At 37.5% G+C, this 19302-nt stretch overlaps 1 long non-coding RNA gene across 1 annotated transcript in view; it reads left to right on the plus strand.

Annotated features, from left to right (window-relative positions):
* The first annotated feature begins 9551 nt into the window (after positions 1–9551).
* Positions 9552–19302, plus strand: part of LOC107986309 (uncharacterized) — a 123175-nt gene continuing 113424 nt past the window's right edge. The window contains exon 1 of the long non-coding RNA XR_001741806.2: positions 9552–9912. This is a non-coding gene — a long non-coding RNA (uncharacterized LOC107986309). The remainder of the gene's footprint in view (positions 9913–19302) is intronic.

Consider the following 19302-nt stretch of genomic DNA (forward strand, 5'->3'; position numbering starts at 1 on the left):
GTATTTCATTTTGGGCGGACATTTGTACACGGTACTGTACTGAATTTCTAATTTTTGGTTCCATGTGTTCATTACTAGTATGCAGAAATCCAATTTATTTCGTATGTTGATCTTGATTCCTCCAATGTTGATGAATTCACTTAATTTTATTAGGAGGTTGATATGATTTGGCTCTGTGTCCCCACCCAAATCTCATCTTGTAGCTCCCATAATTCCCATGTGTTGTGGGAGGGACCAGTGGGAGATGATTGAATCATGGGGGTGGGTCTTTCCACGATGTTCTCATGATAGTGAATGGGTCTCATGAGATCTGATGGTTTTAAAAACAGCAGTTTCTCTGCACAAGTTCTCTCTTTGCCTGCTGCCATCTATGTAAGATGTGACCTATTCCTCCTTGCCTTCCACCTTGATTGTGAGGTCTTCCCAGCCATGTGGGACTGTAAATCCAGTAAACCTCTTTCTTTTGTAAATTGCCCAGTCTTGGGTATGTCTTTATCAGCAGTGTGAAAATGGACTAATACAGAGGGTTTTTTGGTAGATTTCTTGCATAGACAATCACATTATCTGAGAAGAAAGACAGTTTTATTTCTTCCTTTCTGATTTGTATGCTCTTTATTTCTGGTTTTAGCTGTTGTTTGTTTGGTTGTTGTTTTTGTTTTCTTTTGTTTTTTTTTTTTTTTATTTTTTGCCTAACTGCAATGGTTGGAGTACACAGTTTACTATGTTAAATGGCAATGGAGAATGGAGATCATCCTTGTCTTGTCCTCAATCTTATAAGGATGTATTCAGCCTTCTTTCACCATTAAGTATGATGTTAGTTGCAGATGTTCTTTATCAACTTGAGAAGGTTACTGTCTATTCTCAACTTCTTGAGAGATTCTATCAATGGTGTTAAATTTTGTTAAATGATTTTTCTGCATCAATTAATACTATCAATGTGATTTTTTTCTTCAGCCTGTTAAAATGGTGAATTGCATTGATTGACTTTTGAATATTGAATCAGCTTTGAATATTTGAAATAAACCCCATCTTAGTCGTGGTGTGTAATTCTTTATATATATTGTTAAATTCTATTAGTTAGGATTTTAAAGAATTTTATGTATATCTTCATGAGGGCTATTGGTCTGTAACTTTTTTTTCTTTTTGTATTTTTTATCCTGGTTTTGGCAGTCAGGTAATAATAGCATCATAGAATGAATTGAGAAGCATTCTCTCCTTTTCTATTTTCTGGAAAAGACTGTGTAGAAATGGTATTAATTCTTCTTTAAATGTTTGGTAGAAATGGTATTAATTCTTCTTTAAATGTTTGGTAGTATTCTCTAATGAAGCCATGTGGGCATGAAGAGTTCCTTTACAGGTGTTCCTAAATGATGGATTTAATTTTGTTAATAGTATAGTGATATTCAAATTATCTATTCCATATTGGGTGAGTTTTTTTAAGAATTGATAAATTTCTTTTGAATTTATGTGTGTAGAGTTGTTAATAGTATTCTCTTAATATCCTTTGTATGGCTGAAGAGTATCCCCTGTCTCATTCCTGATTTTATAATTTTTGCCTTCTCTCTCTCTTTTGTCAATCTAGTTAGAGGTTTGGCTATTTTATTGCTAGTTACAAAGAAACAATTCTTAGCTAACAACTTCTCTATTATTTTCTCTATTATTTTCTCTTGAATTTTATTGACATCTGCTCTTATCCTTATTATTTTCTTCCTTCTACCTGCTTTCAGTTTATTTTGCTACTCTTTTTCTAGTTTCTTGAGGTGGAAACTTTAATTATTGACTTGGAACTTTTTCTCTTTCCTAATGTAAGCATTTAGTGCCATAAATTTCCCTCTCAGCACTGGCTTAACTGTGTCCCACATGTTTTATGTGTTATATTTACATTTTCATTCAGTTCAATGTACTCTTTAATTTCCTTTTAAATGTCTTTTTTGACCCACGGATTATTTAGAAATGTCTTATTTAGTTTCCAAGTGTTTGAACATTTTTCTGCTATTTTTCTGTTTTCTAGTTTGACTCCCTTTTGGTCAAAGAGCATTCTCTGTATAATTGCATTCTTTTAAATTTGTTGAGGTTTGTTTTATTGCTAAGGATATTATATATTTTGGTATATGCTCCAAGGGCATTTGAAAAGGATGTGTTCATATTGTAACTGTTGAAGGAAACCTAAGGGAAGATGTCCAATCATAACCCATTGTAGGAGCAATGGTTCACAAATGAGTCCAATTCTCTGGACTAGGGGCTGAAAGTTTGGGTCATAGAGGATGGCTCTCGAATTACATAGGAACCACATAGATGGAAGACATGCCCTGCCTCTCCCTGGTCCACAGTGTTGGGATCAAAGAAGGTCAGCAGCATAGCTGCAGGCTGATTCCAGCCCCATGTGACCCAGAGAAGAAATCTCAGGGCTTTCTTAAGGCCAGAGCAGGTCTGGTATGACTATATTTAATTCCTTGTGCTTTATGTGGACATACATTATTGCAGACAGCAATAGTGCTCATCTTTCCCGGTTCTACTCAGCACTCTTCAAAACAAGTAAAGGAGTATAGGGGAACAGGGAAGTGTGAAAAGCAAAGATCAACTCTCATAGTGGCTCCCTAGGATATTTGAAAAGCCTATGAATCCAGATTATGAGAATTATTCTTTGAAATAATGCATGATTGAAGTTAGAGTTTGATTGGAGCTAAGTGTACAAAAAAGTGACATTAGCCTCTAAAGTTTTAAACTCTTTTGGGTCTTCCTCCCTCTATTGATATTGCACTAGTCTTCGTTTTCACGACTTCTCTACACCTCTTCAACCCTCATCTCTTCAACCTCCCAACCCACTTTATCTCAACCACTCACATCTCACTCACCCAGTTCGCTACCTGGTGAAAATACCCCTACTAAGGTAGCCCAAGGCTAATCTCACAAGACACTGCCAGTACTCCTGACCTTTCCTTCTCCCCCTAGAAACTCTTCATGACCATTTCCTGAAATACCTGCTTATTGTTTGAAAACTAGATAAGTACATGAATATTTATGCCTCTATTCAATAACGTTTTTGGATGTCTGCTGCATGCCAGGCACTGTGTTCATCATTAAGAGTAGTATGGTGAAGAAACAGACCCAGTCTTAAGGGGTAACTCCCACAAGGGCATGCAACACAGCTCAGCCTTTGGGGAGCTCATTATCAGTTCAGGGTCAACAAACTACAGCCTGGGCCAAACATGGTTCACTATCTGTTTTTGTATAGCTCATGGGCAAGGAATAGTTTTCACATTTTCAAATCATTTTTAAAAAGCATAAAGAGAATATATTTCATGGCACATAAAATTGTATGAAATTCAACTTTCAGTGCCTGTAAAAATAAAAACATTTTACTGGAACATATCATGCCCATTCATCTACATATCATCCTTGGCTGCTTTCACACTACTATGGCACAGTTGCATATTTGTGATAGAGACTGTATGGTTTTCAAAGCAGAAAATATTTACTCTGTGACCCTTTGCAGAAGCAGTTTGCCAGCCCCATCTTGTTAGAGGGGCAAGAGGGACAGAAATATTCATAGCTCAAAATAAGGTGACAAGTGCCACATCCACACACAGAAAGAACATGTTCTGGAAATTCAAGCAAAGGCAAATCCATACATGCTGTGTGGGGAATGTGGAGTGTAAATCAAGGCTAAAAGGAAGGATAAATTGAAAAAGAGAAAGGTCACAGAGTGAGTAGCCTCTCCAAAGGCACAGAAGTAGGAATGATTATGTTAGAGAGAGGGATAAAGCGAGCCAGAAAGGCAGGATTGGCTTCTGATGCTTATTGGCAATTCTCATGATTAGAAAACAACAGTGACAGAGGGTCCATTTTCCAAAATAAACAAGCTAACAGGGTGAAGAAGAATCGCCAAAGAGCTTTCTACCCTCAAAGATAGGAACATGGAAGAAAGTATCTGGATAAATACAAAAGGAGAGGCAACTAGTAATTTTATGAGACTGTCTGCACTTTATCTTGTCAGTGAAATGTTGCAATAATCAAACCTTCCTTAGAAAAGATTACCAAATTGTCAGAGATGGGGAGTTCACTAGATGTTTGCTAAAGGTATAAGTAGTCTAAAGGCATAGCATGTGGTGTTTTCCTCACTTTCCTGAGAATTTTGTCTTTCAGAAGGAAAAAGTTTCTGGGAGACTTGGTTTTCTGTTCTTAATTCTGCCCAATGAGGAAAGAGTTGATACTAAGGTGGAAGTGACAGAAGCTTGAGAAGCTGCCAACTCTGAGGGAGATGAGGTAGAACATACTACATATTGTCAGATAGGGATTCTAAGCTTCAAGAAACCAAGTTAATGATATTTAGAAAAGATTGTATGATCTCTTGGCTATAGTTTCTAAAATGTAAGCTGAATAAAGAGGACTGAGGAGCTTTAAAATTTCTGACACCATAGTAGCAGAGTATCTCAATGAGAAATTTTAAAAAGCAGGGGTAGTAGCCACAGTATGCTACAAGTTTGCATGGAATCAATATTCTGGACTCTGCTACAGAGCAGGAATTTTATAAATTATATGAGGGATGTGTGTGTGTGTATACATGTATATATATATGTTTATTTATGTATACGAACAGATACAAAAATATCTAAAAAGAGTAATTTCAGGAAGCCCAGAATAAATTGATTTTTTGTGAAAAGTGCTTTCAGCAAAAGAGAGAGAATGAGAGAGATTATGTAATTGTATATATTGGGTATTTTTATCCATGTTAATTACCATAATAAAAGACTGGAGGTAACTTATGTTTAAAAAATAATTGCACCTAAAGATTGCACAAAAAACTGCTATGACTCGTAAGCAATTCTAGCAAAGTTACAGGATACAAAATCAACACACAAAAATAAGTTGCATTTCTATACACTGACAAGAACAACATGAAAAGGAAATTAAGAAAACAATTTCATTTGCAATAGTATCAGAAACAATAAAATACTTAGGAATATACTTTACCAAAGAGGAAAAAAGCTTGTACACTGGAAACTACAAAATGTTGCTGAAAGAAATTTAAAAATACACAAATAAATGGGAAGACATTCAGTGTTCATAGATTGGAAAACATAATGTTGCTAAGATGTCAATACTACCCAAAGTAATGTACACATTTCATATAATCCCTATCAAAATCCCAATTATATTTTTTGCAGAAATAGAATAACCTATGCTAAAATTTGTATGGAATCTCAAGGGACCCTGAATGACCAAAACAATTTTTTTTCTTTGCTTGGGTGAAAAGATATCCAAAACAATCTCGAAAAAGAATTAACATTGGAGATCTCACATTTCCCAGTTTTAAAACTTATAACGGATCTATAATAATCAAACAGTATGGTGCTGCCATAAAGATAGACAGATAGATCAATAGAATCAAATGGAGAGCCCAGAAATAAACTCTCACATACATGGCCAAATGATTTCTGGCAAGGGTACCAAGACCACTTAATGGGGAAAGGACAGTCTTTCAACAAATGGTGCTGGGAAAACTGGGTATTAGTATGCAAAATAATGAATTTGAACCTTTACCCTACACATACAAAAATTAACTCAAAATTAATCAAAGACATAAACATAAGAGCTAAAACTATAAGACTCTTGAAAGAAAACAGTGGAAAACCGTCATGACATTGGATATGACAATACTTTCTTGGATATGACACTAAAAGTACAGGCAGCAAAAGTAAAAATAGATAATCTGGATCACATCCAAATTTAAAACTTCTATGCCTCAAAGAACACAAGCAACAGAGTGAAAAGGAAATCTATGGAATGGAAAAAATTTTGCAAATCACATATCTAATAAGGCGTTAATATACAGAATATAAAAATAACTCCTACAATTTAACAACGGCAACAACAATCCCCTTAAAAGATAGGCAAAGGACTTGAATAGACATTTCTCCAAAAAATATATACAAGTGGGCAACAAGCATGCAAAAAGAGGCCATTATTCATTATTAAGGAAATGCAAATCAAAACCAGAATGAGATGTCACCTCATACCTGTTAAGATGGGTATTGTCAAAAAGACAAAAGATAGCAAGTGTTGGCAAGGGTGTGAAGAAAAGGGAACCACTGAACACTGCTGGTTGGAATGTAAATTGATAGCACCATTATAGAAAATAGTATGGTGGTTCCTCAATAAAATAGAAATAGAATTATCATACGATTCAGCGATTCTACTTCTGGGTACTCAGAGTAATTGAAAACAGCGTCTAGATGAGACATTTTTACACCCATGTTTATGGCTACATTATTCACAACAGGCAAAAGGTGGAAGCAACCCAAGTGTCTATTGACAGATAACGGATAAACAAAATGTGGTATACACATACCATGAAATAATATTCAGCCTTTAAAAGGAAGGAGAGTTTGACATATGCTATAATACGGATGAACCTTGAGGGCATTATGCTAAGTGAAATAAGCCAGTCACAGAAGGACAAATACTCTAAGTTCCACTTATATGAGGTATCTAGTTTGGTCAAAATCATAGGGAATGGTGGTTCCTAAAGCCTGGGAAGAGAGTGGAATGGAGAGTTGTTGTTTAAGGGGTATAAAGTTTTGATTTTGCAAGATGAAAAGGGTTTTGGAGATTGGCTGCACAACAATGTACAGTACTTAAATGGTTAAGATGGTAAATGTACAGTATAACCTGTTTATGTTATGTGCATTTTACCACAATTTTTAAAAGGAAAAATGCAAAAATAATATCTTTTAAACAATACTTGGTCTGCATTGTTTCATTTAATTTTCATAACAATCATATGAGTTAGGTGCTTTTATTAGCCTCTTTGTACAGATGAAAAAGTGAGGCATAGATAATATAATGAAACTTGCTCAAGGTCACACAGCTAAAAACTGGTAGTTTGTTTCTCAAAATTCCAGGCAGTCATACTCTCAACCCTATACTGTCTTTACTACCAGTGAGGAAAGTATAAACCATGAGGACAGAACAAAAAGAAGGAGAGGGAGAAGGAGACATGAGGTTGGTAATGATAAAAGCTAGGCAGATAATTGTATCAGCAAACCTAGATTATGGGACACTAAACTAACGGATTAGAAGACTTAGCTGTCAGCTTCTGACAGCTATGGAGTCAGGGCCAAAAGAGACGTATAAGGGAGAGTTGAAATCCTCATAACCTAAAAAAAAAGGAAGCACACTGTCAAAAGGGAACAACTTTCTTCGGATTTTGACCTCTGAGAAAAATTTACCACAATAGTCTTCATATAAGAAACACTGAAATACATATTGGATGGTGTCTTTAATAACCATGGGCTTTCTGTAAACTTGATGACAAGCAAAGTATAATTGCTAATAGCCATTCCTAATAGCAAACTTGATGCAAGCTGAAGGCATAATTCAAGTCATAGTTTATAAAGTGATTTCTACAAAGAGCCAGAATAAGATAATGCAGGTACAGTATCTTGCTTTCTAGTGATCTGACCTGAGCAGAGGAAACTTAGCAAATGATAACCCTTCATATTTCATAAACTACTAGCCAGACTTTGGACAGGAGCCATATGGCAAATGGCTCTAAATTGAGATAAATGGGGTAATCACTATTGTTGATTAAAAAGAGATCCATGTGCTCTGTACATGACGTGTCTGCCAGTGAGTGAATTCATTATGAAAGCTAAGGGGCTCAGCTGTGTTGTTTCACTGTTCAAGTGAATCCCAACAATTCTGCATGGAGATCAGCAACAGACTGTGTAAGTAAAGCATGAAGAGAATTTAACCAACGTGTTTGAATAATCATCACCAAAAATCTTTTGGAAATCAGATGTCCAAGAAAAACAGTGAAGACTAAACATGGGTAAACTCTCAATTTCCTCAAGAAGGAAAGTGGGGATTTTAAACAGTGAATTTGAGGCCAGCTCTACTAGACTTCTAGAATGACTTAATAAAGGGAGGGAGATTATCAAGACAAGTTTTTTTATAAGAATTTTGCCAAAGTAGCTACATTTTTTTAAGTATAGCTGGACTAACAGAACAATGGTATACCTGTTGTTGATGAAAATTAGCTATTATGATTTCTTTTGCCAAAAACAAAAGGCAATCTTAAGTTTAAAAGAATGTTATGATTTTAACACTCAAAACTCCTAGGTAGTGTTTTCATTTTCATTAAAATTCTTATTTTTGCACCCTCCCTATTCTCTACTGGGGAATAACTTTATTTCCCAGGCCTTAATATTTGTTCTTTCAAACACAAATATTATTTAAGGATTCAATCACTAATGAAGCACAAAAGAGATAATGTAGCTGAATTTTAGAAAGGTCTTCTTAGAATCTGTATTAGTCCCTTTTCATGCTGCTGATAAAGACATACCTGAGACTGGGCAATTTACAAAAGAAAGAGGTTTATTGGCTTACAGTTCCACATAGCTGGGGAGGCCTCACAATCATGGCAGAAGGTGAAAGGCACATCTCACATGGCGGCAGACAAGAGAAGAGAGCTTGTGCAGGGAAACTCCCCTTTTTATAACCATCAGGTCTCGTGAGACTTATTCACTATCGCGAGAAAAGCACAGGAAAGGCCTGCTCCCATAATTCAGTTACCTCCCACTGGGTTCCTCCCACAACACATGGGAATTCAAGATGAGATTTGGGTGGGGACACAGCCAAACCATATCATAGTCCTTTTATAGGATTTTTGAATTTAAATTTTCACCTCCCTAATGGTTATCTGACTTGTCTACAAGCTACGTGGGGTTAAGATTTCATATGATATATTGCTGAGTGAATAAGATGATGATTCAATGTAATGTATTCAAGAATACATATGCATATTAAATGAAGAGACAGTAAAGGATTAACATCAGTTTATTTCTAGATGGTATAAGTACAGATATTTTTTAGTTTCTTTGTTTTGGTTATAAGTGTTTTCTATTTTTCCTGTAATAAAGATATATATAAGTGGAGAAAATTTTGCAAGTTTTCAAAAGTAGCAGTGCCAAGAATGTCAAAATTTAAAATTTTTATAATTGGATATGGACATGCTTGGAATGTATTTGTTTATAACTTTTAGCCAATTAGGTTTAGGGGACAGAAATCCTAGCTTCCATCCTCAGGGAAAAGTCATAAACACATTTTAGGATATCTATTTACTTATTCATCAAATACACATTGTTCCCAAGATATGCCACATGCTATATTGTATATTAAGAATAAAATGATAAATTAGATGCAACTTAATCCTGGGTGGCAGAGCCTTTTCAACTTCATATAAAAGACTGAGGCCTAATTTTCCTGAGTCAGAAGTTCTCAGGCTTGGGGACACATTAGAATCACTTGGGGAGCTCTTGACACCACCAATGCTGAGGCCCCACCTGCAGGTATTCTAGTTTAATTAAAAAGTGATCCAGGTGGCACTAATATGCAGCCACAGCCTGCAGAATGTTTCCTGAATGGGTATTGAACTTGACAGGTGAGTGCTATGAGGAGGGGTGCACAGGGGTACAGGGAAGGATGGGACTGGGCTGGAGGCTGTCACCGATCATGGAGATGGATGAGGGAAGTGGGGTGTGTAGGAAGGGATGATGCCCATTGATGATCTAAAGAATATTGTGTACCTGCTTACAGATTTGTCGTGTTTGAATATAATTTTTAAATGTTTTCACTAAAAAGAACCTGGCCCCTTTAATAAAGGAGCAGTATGTGCCAGCCATCCTGAGACTGGTGGGGAAAACTGCTAGAAGCCTATGACATAGCTCAGCAATAAACAAACTCCCATGTGGATATAAATAACTTATCACAAACACCAGAACCAGTGGAGAAAAGGCTGCCAAACCTCAGGCTCAAATGGCACTTGGGACAGGTCATGTTAGAAAAGAGCCATAACCAGAAATACACCAGAACTCCAGAATAGAGAAGGTCACAGGACAAGTCTCAACAGTAAGTAATGACGTGAAAAACTCCGTCAGAGACTGGCAAATGGAATCCAAGCACCTGGCCATAGACGTAGGGCAAGACTAGGCACTGAGTGTCAAGGAGATCTGTGGTAGGTGGCCAGTCCAGGCTAGGGGCTGGAATTAGGGGCTTGGACAACAGACCCTAGCGGGGCTTAAGGGAATAGGACAAGGCCATTAGGTCAGGGCCTGTTCAGAGGCATGTACATGAAGGTGGGAGTGAAGAAAAAAACAGAGACACAATTATTAAAACTAAGACATAGAGTGTGGCCACAGAAATAAGTCAACAGTCTATTCAAGAGTGGGCTAAAAGTCAGACTGTGATCAATGAGCATGTATACACTCACTTTATACTAAGTGTCTCTTGTGGTTCAGGAGTGGTCCCTGGTCCCACACTTGGCTCCACTGACACCAGCAGCAATTAAGTGGGTCCAGCTGCAGGACCTCAAAAGGGTTGCCTGTCAGGGAACCCAGCTGGTCATGACAAAGCAGAGTGGCGATAGATTCCAAGAAGTAGGGAGCAATCTGAGGTCGCCCTTCTCAGGGCATGTGGCTAGGAGAACCCTCTCTTCCTCCTACCACACACCAGAAGAAGGCAAGCTCTCTTTCCTGGGTCTTGTGGGCCCATGAGCAGTTTGGGTCTTTGTGGAAATTGGGTGTCAAGAAAGCTGAGGGGGGTAAATGAGGAATGTTGGGAAGGCAGTGAGCATGAGGAAGGAATGCCAGCAACACAGGGAAGAAACACTGGGGAGCAATCTCCAATTCCATGGCAGTGCAGCCGCAGGTGAGAGGAAAAGAGCTTTATTCTGAGAGCAGAAAAACAGAATATAGAAGCAAATTAAGCAGTTATTAATAAGAGTTGGTATTTATTTAGGAAGTTTCATATTGTCCTCTATGTAAAGCACTTAGAAGTGTGGCTCATTCATAGTAAGTGCTCTGTGAATGCCTGCTGCTGCTGCTACTACAGCTACTCTATTTAACAATATGAAAATTTAAAAGGAGTCAGAATAGCATAGGGGTTCACAGCCATACTGACAGCAAAAATCATGACCCTGTCACTTATAATATGGGTAATTTTAGACAAGTTAATTTTTGCCCCTTATTTTCATCAACTATAACATGGACAAAACAATAGGGTCATAGTGAGGATTAAATGAGGTTATATTCATAAAATGCTGATAAAATGCAGATATTGCAGATAAAAGAAGACATAGTAATAGAGCCAATGTAGAACAATAAAACAAATACTCCCTATTATGTCCTGTTATAATAATGGGATCATTTAAAAAATCTCCCTGTAAATCAGTAGTTCCCAAATTCAGCTCCATGTTGGAATTGTCAGGGGGAACTATAACAAGTACGATATCTGAATCTCAACCTGTGAGATAGCGATGTAACAAGTTTGAATGTAGCATGGGCATCAGAGATGGTAACAGCTCCCCAGATGACTCTAATGGGTAATTAAGTTTGAGAGCCCCTAATGTATAATAAATAACGACTCCTTTGCTTTAAGTAATAGTTTTGTTGAATTAAACGGATAATTTTTATAACAAAATAATCAATGAGTCTAATCTATCTACTAATGGCAGCTAATCAGACTACAGATGTATAACCAATGCAGAGAATCAGCTTTGTGGCCTGAATTTGGGAGGTGATAGTGTTAAATTCATAATGCTTGCTCTATGGATTCTTATACTATGAGAAGGATCATAAAAATGGTGCAAACCAATAAATAATTGCTGAATAGATGGAGCAAGAGATTGATGGAGCAGATGCTTTGTCAAGAGAGCCACAGGGGGGGAAAAGGCTGCTCTCCTTAGAATGGTGCATGTGCTTATGCACTTCTTAAACATATTAGGTCTGTATTACTCCCCTGAGTTGGTTTAGGATGAGGGTAACACATAATTACTTATATTTCCATGATAGTGTAGCCTGCACACCACTAGTTTAAACAGACATTCTCCCTCAGGGCCACTTCTGAGGTACTGCTACAAACGCAGTTACTAATGCTCCATTTTCCAGAAAATGCCAGTGCCATAGAATGGAAAATCCGTTTCCAATTCAGTCTGAATAGCAAATAGTTCTTCCGCCAAAGGGAGTGTTTTGCCTATTAGCACGGAACAATCTGATGATTGCAGAAAGACCACAGCCACGAAATAGCAGGCAGACCCAAGGTGTTCAGATTTGAGGGTCAGGTGTGCAGAGTTCCTGACATTAGTGAGCAAGGCAGGCAGCCAGAATTTCGTGCAGTGTTTTGGAAGGAAGCAATCTTTTCTGAAGAAATTTATCGCATGATGCTTGAAGACCAAATTTGAAACAACAGGGAAAGGCAGAGACATTTTTTATAATCTATATTAGAAACTCTGAGTTGAGAAGTAACCAATGCATTGGACAGGGAAGAGATTTTAGCCACACTGGCTAAAGGCTATCACCAGTTCTTTAATGTCAAGGAGGTAGATATGATTTACACCCACTGAATTATCTTCTGTATGGGCCTGTATTTCTACATCACTCAGAAGAAGCCCAAATTCACTTGGATCTTGGGGTTAGGACCTAAGGGTTCATGGAACCATCCGGTGACATCTTGCTACCAAAGTGCTCTGGTTTACTGGTGACAAGCTTTGTCTCTCATGGGCCAGTGACCATCTCAGCAGGTTTAGTGTTAAGACACTGTTGATAGCACATCTGAGAAAATCATGTGCATGATTAAATGTATGTAATTACCATCAAAGATTATATTTAGAGTGAGATGCAGTAAATCCATGTCAGAGGTGTCTTGGTACAACTGACTCAGATGCCCAGGGTTTGCATCCTGGCTCTGTCATCCTCTCACTGGGGAAACTTGGATGCAGTTTCTTCATCTGTAAAGTGAGACCATAAAAATACTTTCTCTCATGAATAGTGCCGCAATATTCACAATAGCAAAGACTTGGAACCAACCCAAATGTCCATCAATGATAGACTGGATTAAGAAAATGTGGCACATATACACCATGGAATACTGTGCAGCCATAAAAAAGGATGAGTTCACGTCCTTTGCAGGGACATGGATAAGGCTGGAAACCATCATTCTAAGCAAACTGTCGCAAGGACAGAAAACCAAACACCACATGTTCTCACTCATAGGAGGGAATTGAACAATGAGAACACTTAGACACAGGGTGGGGAACATCACACACTGGGACCTGTCATGGGGTGGGGGGCTGGGGGAGGAATAGCATTAGGAGAAATACCTAACGTAAGTGACGAGTTAATGGGTGCAGCAAACCAACATGGCACATGTATACATATGTAACAAACCTGCACATTGTGCACATGTACCCTAGAACTTAAAGTATAATAATAAAAAAAGCCACAAGGATAGCTTTAGAACTATGAATATGTATGCGCACCAAAAAATGCTACCACGTACTAATAAAGCATTAAATTAAAAAAAAAAGCTTTCTCTCAAAAAGGTGTTATGAAGATTAAGTAAACTCATACTTGTAAATAATCTAGAAGAATCCCTTCTATATTTAAATTCCTTAAATTTACTTAAGAAGCTATAGAAATGCTTCTTAAGTAAATTTTCACAAAGTCTCAAATTAAAAACTCCCTTCTGACTTTATTATGTATAGACATCTGAACAGGGACACCCATTTGATAATTAAAGTCCCAAATCTGGCATTCAGAAGTAGAGGAAATAAGCCTTGCTTCTTGCACGAAAACATATTGCCAGAATTATTTCTGAGTGAGAGTTGTGTGTAGGGAAAAGAAAGAGAGATAAGATGTTACTGTGTCTATGTAGAAAGGAAAGACATAAGAGACTCCATTTTGAAAAAGACCTGTACTTTAAACAATTGCTTTGCTGAGATGTTGTCAGTTTGTAACTTTGCCCCAACCTGGAGCTCACAAAAACATGTGTTTTATAAAATCAAGGTTTAAGGGATCTAGGGCTGTGCAGGACGTGCCTTGTTAACAAAATGTTTACAAGCAGTATACTTGGTAAAAGTCATCGCCATTCTCTAGTCTCAATAAACCAGGGGCACAATGCACTGCGGAAACCTGCAGGGACCTCTGCCCTTGAAAGCGGGGTATTGTCCAAGGTTTATCCCCATGTGATAGTCTGAAATATGGCCTCGTGGGATGAGAAAGACCTGATCATCCCCCAGCCTTACACCCATAAAGGGTCTGTGCTGAGGTGTATTAGTAGAAGAGGAAAGCCTCTTGCAGTTGAGATAGAGGAAGGCCACTGTCTCCGCCTGCCCCTGGGAACTGAATGTCTCGGTATAAAACCCGATTGTACATTTGTTCAATTCTGAAATAGGAGAAAAACCACCCTATGGTGGGAGGTGAGACATGTTTACAGCAATGCTGCTTTGTTATTCTTTACTCCACTAAGATGTTTGGGTGGAGAGAAACATAAATCTGGCTTACGTGCACGTCCAGCCATAGTACCTTCCCTTGAACTTAATTATGACATAGATTCTTTTGCTCACATGTTTTTTTGCTGACCTTCTCCTTATTATCACCCTGCTTTCCTACTACATTCCTTTTTGCTGAAATAATGAAAATAATAATCAGTAAAAACTGAGGGAACTCAGAGGCCGGTGCCAGTGCAGGTCCTCCATATGCTGAGTGCCGGTCCTCTGGGCCCACTGTTCTTTCTCTATACTTTGTCTCTGTGTCTTATTTCTTTTCTCAGTCTCTCGTCCCACCTGACTAGATATACCCACAGGTGTGGAGGGACAGGCCACCCCTTCAATGTGTTATAACAGCCACTCAACTCAGGGGACATCCAGGATGACAGTGATGCAATTTAAGAACCTGTGGATGTCATTTGCTATTACTCTCCCGTATCAGGAAATAGACTATAAATACATTCCCTTAGATTCCCTGCATACCAAATAGCACATGGGATTCATCCATTCATCCTGAAACTATATCCAGTGTTTGCATTTGTTTGGCTTCATGATTGGTTTGTTAGTTTGCTTTTTTGAATTTGTGTTTAATGTTTAGATCTTTTACCGTCTGGGAAAAGACCCACAGATTAGCCATGAGATTGTAGAAGCCTATTCTTCTCAGAGTTTTCTGTGGTTGGCAAGCTCAGGGCAGAGATGGCTCTTTCGATGATGGATGTTGGCCAGTGTCCACCAAGAGAAAGAAACACTGGCTAAAGTCCCACAGTCTTAGCGGGCCTGTATTTCTATATCACTCAGAAGAAGCTCAAATTTCCCTGAATCTGGGGGTTAGGACCTAAGTGTTCATGGAACCACCTGGTCACATCTTGCAACCAAAGTGCTCTGGTTAACTGGTGACAAGCTTTGTCTCTCATGGGCCAGTGACTATCTCAGCAGGTTTAGTGGCAAGACACTGTTGATAGCACATCTGAGAAAATGACAGATCTTCCAGCAGGAGAATGGCTCTAAGCAGCTCCTCCAGCTATACCTGCCTGGAGAAGGAGGAAGGGCAGGCATGACAGCACCATGTATTCTGGGTGACATAAGCAACTGACCCCTCCTACTAGTGTTTTAAAGGTTTCCTCCTTTTTAATGTGTACAATACAAGTGTTAACAAGAATCTGAGTCAACACAGATGCCAGAATTTCTGGGGACCTTTCCAGAAGAGCAGGTGACCTGGAGCCCTGCCATTCCATAGTGGATCTGCTTTCTCTCCCTTTGCTCTTCTCTTTCCAGCTAGACTTAACAGGGTAGTTTTGTGTTAAAATAATCACTTAGAAAATGGAGGTTATATTAAGAAAGCAGCTCAAAATTTACCTTGTTTCATTAAAAAAAAACCAGGGAGTAAATTCTCCAGTTTGAGCTGTGAATGAATGCTTTGGTGGCTTTGAAGATGCCAGTTCCAATCAGTCTACTGTTTATCCAGAATGGGACCCAAAGCTTATGAAATCAGGCCTATTGGAGATTGTACTATTTATAATGCCTAGCCCACCCCAATAAGCTTTATTTTCTAGGTGCCAAATTTCCCTTTTATGTCATTATCCACTGTCTGAGGTTAATTATTGAGCTCCTACACCACTGGAAGGACAACGGGAACATGCAACACATCACTTTTTGTATAATGCTCATTGCCCTGCTTCTAAATCCTAAACAAACCGTCATCACTTTAAGTTAGCAAGTTCCCATTATTCCTTAGAGAATGCTAATTTGTGTGGACTGAAATAATACAGTGGAAAATATTTGCACAATAGTATGTTTTTATCCTAATTTTATATTTTGCTTAATTTTACAAAGTAGCTAATATTATCAAATGTAAGTATTTATAATGAAAAATATGGCATTATTAGCTTAATATTTTGCTTAGTTTTACAAAGCAGCTAATATTATAAAATGTAAGTATTTATTTATTTTTATTTTTATTTTTATTTTTATTTTTTGAGACAGAGTTTCACACTGTCACCCAGGCTGGAGTGCAGTGGTGCGATCTCCGCTCACTGCAACCTCTGCCTCCCAGGTTCAAGCAATTCTCCTGCCTCAGCCTCCCAAGTAGCTGGGATTAGAGGCATGCGCCACCATGCCCGGCTAATTTTTTGTATTTCTAGTAGAGATGGGGTTTCACCATGTTGGCCAGGCTGGTCTCGAACTCCTGACCTCGTGATCCACCTGCCTCGGCCTCCCAAAGTGCTGGGATTATAGGTGTAAGCCACCATGCCTTGCCATGTAAAATGTATTTATAATTACACTGAGAAAATGGCATTATTAGCTTCTTGGCTTTATAGACATAAATATATTTTTATTAAAATATATATCTATCAGTTTAAGTTATAAAACATGTCTGGATTCTCTGAAGGTATTTTGGAACACAGTCATCAGCATTTATTGACATTTCTAGGTTCTATGTATATCTACCACAGTACCTTATCCAATACTTTATATAATGTTTAAGTTGCTTTCATATGCACTATTGTTTTCATCTTCATATCTGCCCTGTAAAGAGGGAGTCAGGCATTTTCTACATTTTCATGCCTACTCATTAAAGGTATCGCTTCTCAGTGAGAGGTGTGACATTTGTGTTAAACTTTAATTCTAAAATATATGTTAAATGTTAATTTGAAGATTGAAGTAAAAGAATAAAAGCCTTTTCGTAATCATGCTTTCCTTAAGGATTGTATTCATTTGAATTGAAGTTTCATAGTAATTATAAAGCACAATGATTCTTTGCAAAAATAAAACATTTCAGTATAGAATGACTATCTGTTATTGCTTACCTAAAAATGCCCTAATCAGTTGATTTTTAACTTATTTCTAAATATAGAGATAGTCTAACAAAAGCCATGTATTGCAGTTTGCAGGAAAAAAAAGAGCAGGAGAAAAGGAAAAAACATGGCTCACATTGAAAATGTATTTTAAGGCAAATTGGTAAACTGTTTTGAAGCCATGTATATGGAGCTTGATTAAAATACTTTATTACATTTTCTTTATATGTTTACAATTTTGAGTCATATTAGAAAGACTGTCTTCATTTTCAAGAAATGAATTTACCCATGTGTTGTTCTGATACTTGTATGATTTCATTTTTAATGTTTAGATTTCTGATCAATTTGAGATTTAATCATAGTGTAACTTTTTCTTTTTCTCAAAAGCTACCACTTGTCCCAAACTCACTAATTAAAAAGCTCACCTTTATTAAGTACACAATCATCAAACATTGTATCCATCTTCAGGATTCACTGACATTGTATGCTTCTATATATGTCTACCACAGTTTCTTATGCAATACTTTATTGTGTTTAAATTGCTTTGTACCTGGGTCTACTTCATAGGTACCTGGGTCTACTTCTTGGCCTTGCCCTTTACTCTGATGTCTGTCTGTCTTTTCATGTGTCTATATCCATGATTTTAATTATAGAGGCTTTATGATTTGGTATCTGCTAGGGCGAGCCATCCACTTTTAAGATCACTGACCAGCTTCTATCCCAGCTCACCCATTCCTTTTTCTCAACACAAGCATTCAGGCTGTGGCTGCATATTAGCACCACTTGAATCACTTTTTAATTAACTCAGAATGTCTGCAGGTGGGCCCTGAGCAGTGGTGTTAAGCGCTCCCCAGGTGATTCTAATGTGTGTCTAAGCCTGAGAACTTCTGACCTAGGAAAATGTAGGCCTCTAATATTTATATGAAGGCAGAAAGGCTGTGCCATCTAGGATTAGGTTGTATCTAATTTACCATTTTATTCCTAATAGGTAACATAGCACGTACTATATCTTGGGAACGATGTATATTTTATGAACAAATAAATAGATATTCTAAAATGTGTTTATGACTTTTTCCTAAGGCTGGAGGCTAAGATTCCTGCCCACTAAACACTTTTAACTAGAAAATTTAAACAAATACATTCTAAGCATGTTCACATCCAATCATAAAAAAATAAAAAAATTAAGGTAGGGAGACAGTGTCTTGTTCCTGGCTTTAGCAGGAATGCTTCTGATTTTCCCACATTAAATGAGAATCTGGCATTATCCATTGACTCTTAGTTCACTAATGTGTCAGAAATAAGTATTAAATTTGGTTTAATATCATTTCAGTATCTTAAAACTTTTTCCTTTGATGTAATTATATAATTGATTTTATTAATAGATTTCATAATATTGAAAAATTATTGCAGAATGAAAGACAACCTACTTGGTTCATGATTGTTTAATGTTCTAGTGGATTCTGTTTGCCAGCCTTCTATTTTAGGAGTTTTCACTAATATTTGAGGAAAAGGTTTTATAAGGGTTAAGTGTCAAAGTTAAACTTTTCTTATAAAAATAATTTGGACATTTCCTTTTATTTTATTTGAAAAGTTTGATTCACATTTGAGCTATGTGGTCTTTAAAGATTTAGTTTAATTCTTCCATAAAACCATATGGGCCTGTTGCTTTTTGTAGGGGTGGAGAGTTGCTGATATGGTTTGGCTGTGTCCCCACCCCAACTCTCATCTTGAATGGTAATAATCTCCACATGTCAAGGGCAGGGCCAGGTGGAGATAATTGAATCATGATGGCAGTTTTCCCCATACTGTTCTAGTGGTAGTGAGTAAGTCTCACAAGATCTGATAGTTTTATAAATGGAAGTTCACCTGCACATGCTCTCTTGCCTGTTGCCATGTAAGATGTGCCTTTGCTTCTCATTTGCCTTCTGCCATGATTGTGAGACCTTCCCAGCCATGTGGAACTGTGAGTCCATTAAACCTCTTTCCTTTATAAATTACCCAGTCTTGGGTATGTCTTTATTAGCACTGTGAGAACAGACTAATACAGTAGCTCTTTCATAATTTTATCTACTTTCTAATTTTCTATGAAAATTGGCCTTTTGAACTTTCTGCCTCTAGAGGGGTCAATTTTGGATACATTATATTTTTCTAGGAAATTTCCCACTTTCTTAGGTTGTCAAA

Source organism: Homo sapiens, chromosome 4 (assembly GCF_000001405.40).
Source record: "Homo sapiens chromosome 4, GRCh38.p14 Primary Assembly".
Classification (NCBI taxonomy): domain Eukaryota; kingdom Metazoa; phylum Chordata; class Mammalia; order Primates; family Hominidae; genus Homo; species Homo sapiens.